At 39.6% G+C, this 10,644-nt stretch overlaps 1 pseudogene, besides 2 other annotated features; it reads right to left on the bottom strand.

The window, feature by feature from the left end:
• Nucleotides 3,602-4,124: an enhancer, noted in NCBI's record as "OCT4-NANOG hESC enhancer chrX:134595644-134596166 (GRCh37/hg19 assembly coordinates)". NCBI's record gives its function as "activates a minimal SCP1, AML or CMV promoter by ChIP-STARR-seq in primed H9 embryonic stem cells {active_cell/tissue: H9 hESC(primed)}" and the evidence as "EXISTENCE:reporter gene assay evidence [ECO:0000049][PMID:30033119]".
• Nucleotides 6,036-6,085: a silencer, noted in NCBI's record as "silent region_21021". NCBI's record gives its function as "represses an Ori minimal core promoter by ATAC-STARR-seq in GM12878 lymphoblastoid cells {active_cell/tissue: GM12878}" and the evidence as "EXISTENCE:reporter gene assay evidence [ECO:0000049][PMID:35858748]".
• On the bottom strand, nt 6,199-7,367 carry WDR4P1 (WDR4 pseudogene 1; annotated as a pseudogene).

The following is a 10,644-nucleotide window of genomic DNA, read 5'->3' on the forward strand; positions in this document are numbered from 1 at the left end:
AGCAACTGACCATAGGTGTATGGATTTACTTCTGGAATCTCTATTTTATTCTATTAGTCTATATGTCTATCCATACATGAATGCCACACTGTTTTGATTATTATGGTTTTGTAATAAGTTCTGAAATCTGGAAGTGTGAGTACCCAAAATTTGTTCTTTGTCAAGATTGTTTTGGCTATTTGTAGAGTCTCTTGCAATTCCTTTAAAAATTTAGGATCAGCTTTTCAATTTCTACAAGAAAAAGGGCCATTGGCATTTTGATTCTGTTGATCTTTTTGGGCAATATTGCCATCTTAACATTGTCTCCCAATCCATGCATACAGGATGTCTTTCTATTTATTTAAGTCATCTTTAATTTCTTTTAGCAATGTTTTATAGTTTTCACTGTGTAAGTGAAAGTTTACACAGTATACAAGTGTAAGCTGAATATCAAGTGTAAATTTATTCCCATATATTTAATTTATCTTCATGGCATTGTAAATAGAATTTCTTTAAGTTTCCATTTCAGATTGTGCATTGTTAGTGTATAAAAATACAACTGATTTTTGCATATTGATCTTGTATTCTGCAACACTGCTGAATTTTTTATTAGTTCTAATTGTTTTGAAAATTTCTTAGGATTTTCTATATAAAAGATCCTATCTCTGCACATAGGGTTTTCCATTCTCCTTTCCAACTTGGGTGCCTTTTATTTCCTTTTATTGCCTAATTGCTCTGGGTAAAACTTTCAGTACTATGTGAATAGAAGTGGTGAAAGTGGGCATTTTTGTCTTGTTCCTGATCTTAGGGGGAAAGCTTTCAGATTTTCACAATTGAATATTATTTTAGCTGTGTGTTTTTCATAAATGTCCTTTATTATTTTGAGTTAATTCATTTCTATTATCTTATAATTCACTTTTTAGCCTTTCAATTTTTTATTTTGTACTAGCAGTTTAAACATATCTTTAAATAGAGAGCTGCTATATTTAAATATTTTTGTAGCAAAAAAACACATAACAAAATTTACCATCTTAATCATTTTAAGTGTATAATTCAGTAATGTTAAGTATATTCACACTGCTGTGAAGCAGATCTCCAGAACTTTTTCATCTTGAAGATCTGAAACTTCATACCCATTAAACAATAACTCTCCTTTTCCCCCTCTCTCAAGCCCCTGGTAGCCACCATTCTACTTTCTGTTTCTATGAATTTAACTACTTTAGATACTTCATATACATAGGATCATACAGTATTTGTCTTTTTGTGACTGGCTTATTTTACTTAGCATAATGTCCTTAAGGTTTATCCATAATGTATCATATAAAAAGAGTTTCTTTCTTTTTAAGGCTGCATAATAATCCATTGTTATATATACACTGCATTTTGTTTATCTATTCATCTGTCCATGCAAATGTGGGTTGCTTACACCTCTTGGCTCCTGTGACTAGTGCTGCTATGAACATGGCCATGTAAATATTCCTCGAAGACCCTGTGCTATGGTCTGAATGTGCCCCCTCCCAATTCATATGTTAAAACTTAATCACCAATGTGATAGTATCCCCCCCCCAAAAAAAAAGAGGTGGAGCCTTTAAGAGGTGATTAAGTCATAAGTGTAGAACCCTCATGAATGAGATTAGGGCCCTTGTAAAAGAGTTTGGAGAGTTGATTCACTGCCTACTATTCCTTCTGCCATGTGAGGACAAAGCATTTGTCCTTCCAGAAGATGCACCAACAAGGTGCCATGGTAGAAGTGGAGAGTAGGCCCTTTGTACCAGACATCAAATCCTGATACCTTGATCTTGAACTTAGCCTCCAGAATTGTGAGAAATAAAGTTCTGTTATTTATAGATTACCCAGTCTCAGGCATTTTGTTACAGCAGTGCAAACAGACTAAGACACGCTACTTTCAATTCTTTTGGCTGTATATCCAGAATTGGGATTGCTGGATGGCATGGTCATTCTATTTTTAATTTTTTGAGAAAACTTCATACTGTTTTCCACAGCAGTTTCCCCATTTTTCAATTCCACCAACAGAGCACAGGATTCGAATTTCTCTTTATCAACACTTGTTATTTTCTGGGTTTTGAAAAATAGTAGCCATCTAGGCCAAGCACGGTAGTTCATGCCTGTAATCCCAGTACTCTGGGAGGCCGACACGGGCAGATCCCTAGAGACCAGGAGTTCGAGACCAGCCAGGGCAACATGGCAAAACCTCGTCTCTACTAAAATTATGAAAATTAGCCGGGCATGGTGGCGCATGTCTGTAATCCCAGCTTCTTGGGAGGCTGAGGCACTGGCTCTGCCAAAGAAAAAAAAAAAGTGGCCATTTAAACAACCATTTAAATGGTTGTTACTCTCGTAATTCATTTTTGAACTACTTTACAAAACTATTTGTTTATACTGGATTGAAAACCGAAAAGCCTGGTTCTTTGCCACGGGTAGTTTGTGGAGAAGCCTTGCTATCAAGTCTGGTACTGGGGAGTCTTGGAACAGACACTATGTAACATTTCAGTCACAGAAGAACTTAGGCAAAGTCAGAACTAAATTTTTGAGTCCAAGACATTAGTGCTTCTTTCCAAACTACCGAATTCTGTGTTACCACCTTTTCATGGCTGAGTTTCTTAAAATAACAAACTTGAATCCATTCAACATTCACATGCTTTCTCAGGCCTAAACATTAAGTTCTTGATCTTCCCTGGCCTTCAGAATTGTTCCTGTTGTCATTCCATTGGCTCTGGAGGATTGTATATCTCTATAACTCATCTGTGAATACTGTGACTGCCTGAAAATTCTCACCATGGCTTTGCTGGCTGTGCCTGCCCAATACTGTCTTCTCCCCTTCTGCCCCAGACCAGCAAATTCCTAAGACATTTAGAAAGACGGGCAACAAAACCTTTCAATCCTAAATACCCATCTTCGATGTTTGTACTTAAAATTATGGGATCAATGACAGATACTTGTATTTGTTTCTTCGGCTATGGGGCAAGGTGCTAATGACCACTGTAGTCATGGGAGAGTGTGCCCTTGACACAGTCTTTGGTACAGCAGCAGTTATTGTCAGCACCAAGAGACGTGGATGACCACAGTGAGGGGAAGCTGGAGCTGAAGAGAACTGTTCTTCAGAGCACACATGAGAAATCCGTGAGATACACCAAAAAGTACTTAGGAGGCATTAGGGAGGGGATCTGGGGCTTCATCAAAGCAGGTTCAGTCAGAAAAGTACTGATTGGAGTTCATCATTACTATGACCCTATTTTTATCTCTATGCTGGTGTCCTGAGGAACACAGGTATATTAGGTGGTTCTTGCATTGCTATAAATAAATATCTGAGACTGGGTAATTTATAAAGAAAAGCAGTTTAATTGGCTCAGAGTTCTGCAAGCTGTACAGGAAGCATGGTTCTAGCATCTACTTGGCTCCTGGGAAGGCCTCAGAGAGCTTTTTCATGGTGAAAGGCAAAGTGGGAGCAGGCACATCACATGGCCAGGTCAGGAGCAAGAGAGAGATTTGTGGGGAGGGGTAGGTGCCACACACTTGTAAACAGCCAGATCTCATGGAACTCATTCATTATTGCAAGGACAGCGCCAAGCCATGAAGGATCTACCCCATGACCCAAACACCTCCTTCCAGGCTCTACCTCCAATATTGGGGATTACAATTCAACATGAGATTTGACGGGGACATATATTCAAACTATATCCACAGGTTACATTTTAGGAGCCTGATTGAATTGAAATATTTTAAGGAAGTCATGTTTCTTTCCATATCTGCTCAGCTGCTAAAGTACCAGAGGGTGCTTTTGGAAACAGATTTACCTCTCACAGGCTGTGAAGGTCTTTGAGGCACCATTACGAATGCCTTTTTTCCCACTCTGTGGGTTGTCTATTTACTCTGCTGACTGTTCCTTTTGTGATGCAAAAGCTCTTTAGTTTAACTAAGTCCCAACTATTTATCTTTGTTTTTATTGCATTTGCTTTGGGGTTCTTGGTCATGAAATTCTTGCCTAAGCCAATGTCTAGAAGGATTTTTCCAATGTTATCTTCTAGAATTTTTATAGAAAATCTTCACAATCTACACATCTGAGAAAGGAATCTAATATCAAGAATCTACATCAAATTCAAACAAGTCAGTAAGAAAGAAACAAACAATCCCATAAAAAGTGGGCTAAGGACATGAATAGACAATTCTCAAAAGAAGATATACAAAAGGCCAACAAACATATGAAAAAATGCTCAACATCACTAATGATCAGGGAAATGCAAATCAAAACCACAATGCAATACCACCTTACTCCTGAAAGAATGGCTATAATCAAAAAATCAAAAAACAGTAGATGTTGGCTTGGATGTGGTGATCAGGGAACACTTCTACACTGCTGGTGGGAATGTAAACCAGTACAGCATCTATGGAAAACAGTGTGGAGATTTCTTAAAGAACTAAAAGTAGAACTACCGTTTGATCCAGCAATCCCACTACTGGGTATCTACCCAGAGGAAAAGAAGTCATTATATAAAAAAGATACTTGCACATGTATGTTTATAGCAGCACAATTTGCAATTGCAAATTTGTGGAACCAACCCAAATGCCCATCAATCAATGAGTGGATAATGAAACTGTGGTATATATATACAATGGAATACTACTCAGCCATAGAAAAGAATGAATTAAAGGCATTTGTAGCAGTATGGATGAGATTCGAGACTATTATTCTAAGTGAAGTAACTCAGGAATGGAAAACCAAACACTGTATGTTCTCACTGATATGTGGGAGCTAAGCTATGAGGACACAAAGGCATAAGAAGGATACAATGGACTTTGGGGACTTGGAGGGAAGGGTGGGAGTGGGGAGAGGGATAAAAGACTACCAATAGCAGTGGCAGCTGTTGATTTTTCTACCATACTCGTAATACTGTTCATGCTGGACATGTCAGAGTGTATACTGCTCAGGTGATGGGTGCACCAAAATCTCACAAATCACCACTAAAGAACTTACTCATGTAACCAAATACCATCTGTACCGCAATAACTTACGGAAAAAATAAAATAAGAGTGTCTTTTTTTAAGGAAAACAAGGCATTTATGAAAAACTTGAAGCACTCCAGCTTTTGATACAGCTTTTGTTTCTAAGGCCCCAGCGAAACCCCACACCCAAGTTATCACCAACATGTACAGTCACTCCTGTGTTTGAAACTTAATCATTGGAGAGTGGGTAGAAGCTAAAATGAACAAATTACCTGATGTATCTAGAAGCCAAACCATCACAGAATCTTTCTTCCCAAATCACTTCCCAGAAGTGTTCAATTTGTGACTGAACACTTCAGTCACAAACAGTGCATGCACCCAAATGTTTTGCTCAATATGTTTTGAGTCTAATTCTGTATATTGCTGCTAAAGATTTCCAGAAAGTTGCAAAAGTTCGTCCTTATTGATAGGTGATTGGAATTCAGTGACACTGCTGCTGCTCTGTAGTGTGTGCAAAGGTCAAATCAAAGTAATAAATACGATATTCTCGATCATTTCTCTGTAAAACTAGGTTTCTAGCCAGGGCCCATGCCTTCACACTTGCTGAAACAAGTTCACCTTCTGCACCAGTGCTGCCAGAGAGAGCTCCCTGTGACATGGGAATCATGTTTCTGCACTTCCCATGCAGGAGCCACTCACCACATGTGGCTCCTGAGCACACGAAGTGTGGCTGGAGCTGGGAATGGCTGAAGAGTTAGTTCTATTTGAGTTTCAATAGTGCGGCAAGTGGCTACTTGGAAAGCAGCACACCACCTGAGATGGAAGGAAAAACATGAAAACATCCTCCATGCCACTGCAAAAATGTCTGCCTATACATCTTAGAGGAAGACATGTCCAGCATGAACATCATTATGAGTACGGTAGAAAAATCAACAGCTGCCACTGCTACAGGTTAATAGATTGCCTTCAACATGAAGATAAAATGCTTCCAGCACTTCCACTCTGCCCCATAGTCTCTTAGTTGAGCTAATGCCCTGCACAGCTTCTCTTCAACCAGAAGGGGGCACAGACACCAGGCAAGAGCCTATGCTCAGTGATACAGAATGTTCTAGAGCCCAGGAGACCGTTCCATCCACTGAGCTGAGCTGGTCAGACCTAACTAATGTCATCTTTTCCTTCTTAAAGGGAGATGCCAGGATGAGGAGGGAACAAGTTAAAACTGCTTCTGCTGTTTCAAGGTTGTAAGAGGCACTACCAACCACCAAGGTCAACAACTCAAAGCCACTTCACCCGGCCTCAACTTCTTGGTTTGGGGCCCAGGTGGGGGAATTCTCCAGCTGCTAATGCAGTCTCTCCTCTTTCTTCTTCAGATAGAAGGTCATGTTATCGAAGATGGCCTTGTAGAGACTGCTGAAGCTGGCATCTGTGACGTTAGAGCCTTCCAGCATGGCCCAGTTCCCATGAATAACACTGGAGACTTTTTTTTTTTTTTTAAACACAGTGCATTCAGGAACAGAATGCCACTGGCCACCTACAGGCCTGCAGAGCACCAAGGGGATTTCATGGCAGTCCGGCAGCACCCACAGCCCCTGGGTCTCCTCGAAAGCCACATCCCACACATGGTGCTAGCTTGACAGATGCTGCCTGTACACTAAGTTAGCAGTCTGAGAGCATCAAGCTGGAAGATGTAGATTACAGGAATACAGTTGCACAGAAGCGTCATGCAGTTCTCCTAGCACCAGAACGTGATCCCGGATGTGACAAACCTCCGGTGTCCCAGGGGCCCATCAGCACTTGCAGACTGGCCAGGTGATAGCAGTGCAGTTGATGGCCACTTCTGTACTCCCAGAGCCTAAGAGTGCAGTCCCTGGAGGAGGACAAGAAACAGTTCGGGCTGAGTGGGCACCACAGAGATGCGGCTCACAAACTCCGTGTGCCCGAGGCAGAAGGACTCGATACTGTGAGGTGCTGTGGCCTAGCTGACCTGGATCTTCTCATCCGGGTTGGCAGTGAGGATGAAGCAGTTATCAGGACTCACAGTCACCTCTAACAACATTGACAGGTGTGCCAGGTCAAGTCTGCCGCATCTGTGTGGCTCTGAAACCAAAAAGGAGTACACATCTCCAGATTTGTCGGCCACCAAGACCTTCTCCTCAGAGGCTGTAAGGTCAGGGCCCTACACCTCCTTGCCATGGTCCTGACACTCAGACATTGCCATGGTTTTGTATGGAAAAGAATCAGACGCTTGTGGTCATCTGTTAAAGCAAAATAGCGCCAGACTTGGAGGTGGATGCCAGAATCATGCCACTCCCCCAGACCAAGGGCAGCCCGTCCTCCCCTTTATTTTCTTGTGACTATTCTGCAGCACTGCAGTCATAGATGAAGAGGTTGTTGTCATCATTGTTTGCAGCAGAGGTGGCCAGGAAAAACCCAGAGACTCCACAAGAAAATGGTTAGAACTGATAAACAAATTCAGTAAATTTGCAGAACACAAAATCAACATAAAAAACTCAGTATCACTTCTATATGCCAACAACAAACAATCTGAATAAAAAATCAAGAAAGTAGTCCTATTTACAATTGCCAGAAATAAAATAAAATACCTAGGGTTAAATTTAACCAAAGTGAAAGATCTCTACAATGAAAACTATAAAACATTGATGCAAGAAATTGAAGAGGACACAAAATAATAGAAAGATATTTCATGTTCATGGATTAGAAGAATCAATATTGTTAAAATGTCCATATTAACCAAAGCAATCTACAGATTCAATGCAATCCCTATCAAAATACTAATGCCATTCTTCACAGAAATAGAAAAAAAAATCCTAACATTTATATGGAATCACAAAAGATCCAGAATAGCCAAAATTATCCTGGGCAAAAAGAACAAAACTGGAGGCATCACATTACCAGACCTCAAATTATATTACAGAGTGTAGTAACCAAAACAGCATAATACTGCCATAAAAACAGACGTATAGACCAATGGAACAGAATAGAGAACCCAGAAACAAATCCACACCCCTACAGTGAACTCGTTTTCAACAAAGGTGCCAAGAACATACACTGGGGAAAAGAGTCTCTTCAAAAAATGGTGCTGGGAAAACTGGATATTCATATGCAGAAGGATGAAACTAGACCCCCATCTCTGACCACATTAAAAATCAAATCGAGTGGATTAAAGACTTAAATCTAAGACCTCAAATTATGAAACTACTACAAGAAAACATCAGGGAAACTCTCCAGGACATGAGACTGGGCAAAGATTTCTTGAGTAATACCCTGCAAGCACAGACAACCAAAGCAAATGTGGACAAATGAGATCACACCAAATTTAAAATCTTCTGCACAGAAAAGGAAACAACCAACAAAGTGAAGAGACAACCCACAGAATAAGGGAAAATATTTGCAAACTACCCATCTGACAGGGGATTAATAACCAGAATATATAAGGAGCTCATACAACTCAATAGGAAAAAATCTAATAATCTGATTTTTAAATGGGCAAAAGATCTGAATACATATTTTTCAAAAGAAGATATACAAATGGCAAACAGGTATATGAAAAGATGCTCAACATCATTGATCATTGAGAAATGCAGATCAAAACTACAATGAGATATCATCTCACTCCAGTTAGAATGGGTTTTATCCAAAAGACAGGCAATAATAACAAATGCTGGAGAGGATGTGGAGAAAAGAAAACCCCTTGTACACTGTTAGTGGAAATGTAAATTAGTACAACCACTATAGAGAATAGCTTGGAGTTTCCTTAAAGAAACTAAAGTAGGACTACCATAAGGATTCACCAATCCCACCCCTAGATGTATACTCAAATGAAAGGAAATCAGTATGTTGAAGTGATATCTGCACTCCCGTGTTTATTGCAGCACTATTCACAATAGCCAAGATTTGGAAGCAACCTATGTGTCCATCAACAGATGAATGGAAAAAGAAAATGTGGTGTATATACACAATGGAGTACTATTCAGCCATAAAAAGAATGACATTCTTTCATTTGCAACAACACGGATGGAACTGGAAATCATTATGTTAAGTGAAATAAGCCAGGCATAAAAAAGACAAACTTTGCATGTTTTCACTCATTTGTGGGAGCTAAAAATTAAAAATAATTGAACTCATGGAGATGGAGAGTAGAAGGATGGTTCCTGAGGCTGGGAAGGGTAGTCACAAGGGAGTGGGGATGGTTAATGGGTACAAAAATATAGTTAGATAGAATGAATAAGATCTAGTATTTGATAACACAGCAGGGTGACTACAGTCAACGTAATTTATTGTACATTTCAAAATCACTAAAAGAGTATCATTGGATTGTCTGTAACACAAAGAAATGGTGAATGCTTGAGCTGATGATTACCCCATTTACCCTGATGTGGCTATTATGCATTGTATGCCTAATGTATCAAAATATCTCAGGTACCCTATAAATATATACACCCACTATGTACCCACAAAATTTAAAAATAAAAAAATTAAACATTTTTTAGAGACAATATATAGGTAGTTATATGGATTTTTGTATAGATATAGATTTAGTTGATAAATACTAACTACCCAACTTTGTGTGATTTGCCTACGGTGTGACTGCATTATCTCTTGGGAATCATCAGGAGAGGGAGTATCTTAGAAGCTAGTCTGTAAGGTAGAATGCAGAAACTCTGACTTTTGAGGGAGAAACTGACGCCTTTCCCTTGACCTGGAAGGTAAGTCTATGGTAAACTGTGTGGGTAAATTAAGAATTTTGGCTTGGTCCCAGCTACTCGGGCACAATTCTCTCAGAACTGGGGTCATGTTATTTGTGATGGTTTTTCTGATGTGTCACCTTGGGTAGGCTACAGTTTCCAGTTATTTAATCAAACACTAAATGCTGCTGTAAAGAGAGTTTTTAAATATAATTAAAGGCTATAATCAGCTGAATCTAGGTGAGGGAGATTATCCTGGTTAATTTGGGTTGGCCTGATTCAATCTGTTGGAAGGCCTTAAAAGCAGGGTTGAGGTTTCCCTGAGAGAGAAGAAATTCCACCTATGGATTTCAGCTTCAGCCTGTGCCTATGAATTCCAAGTTGTCCAAGACTTTTCCTTCCTGACTGCCTGCCATACCAACTTGTTTAGCCAGACCTCACAATTGCCAATTCCATGCAATAAACAGATAGATAGATGATAGATAGATAATAGATAGATAGATAGATAGATAGATAGATAGATAGATAGATGGAGAAAGAGAGAGATAGGTAAGATATAGATATAGATACAGATATCCTACCAATACTGCTTCTGTAATTGAGTTCTTACTAATACACTCTGCAAAGGCAATTGAACTAGGGTGTTTCTACCGGTAAGATGCTAGGGCCCCAGAGGAGGGTTTCGAATTGTGTCTATACAAACCATAGGTGGTGCATCATCTCCTTGATTGAGGTTGACCACTTCAAGGCAGTTGAATGTATGTTTGGAAAAATGAAAGCTAGCAGGGATTTAGTAACTTGTAGAATTCTTAAACTCTGGAAAGCAGGAGAAAAGAAAGCCTCAGCAAATATACTGATGTTGCAGAGGTTGGAGACAAGGCTTTGGCAAAAGAATGGAGAGGAGCAAATCAGATTTGTTTAGATCAAGTGAGAGTAGGAACTGTCTGAAATAGAATACTTCCATGGAAACATGAATGGCACTGGAATCCTGAAGTCC

The sequence above is a fragment of the Homo sapiens genome, chromosome X (assembly GCF_000001405.40).
Source record: "Homo sapiens chromosome X, GRCh38.p14 Primary Assembly".
Lineage (NCBI taxonomy): Eukaryota > Metazoa > Chordata > Mammalia > Primates > Hominidae > Homo > Homo sapiens.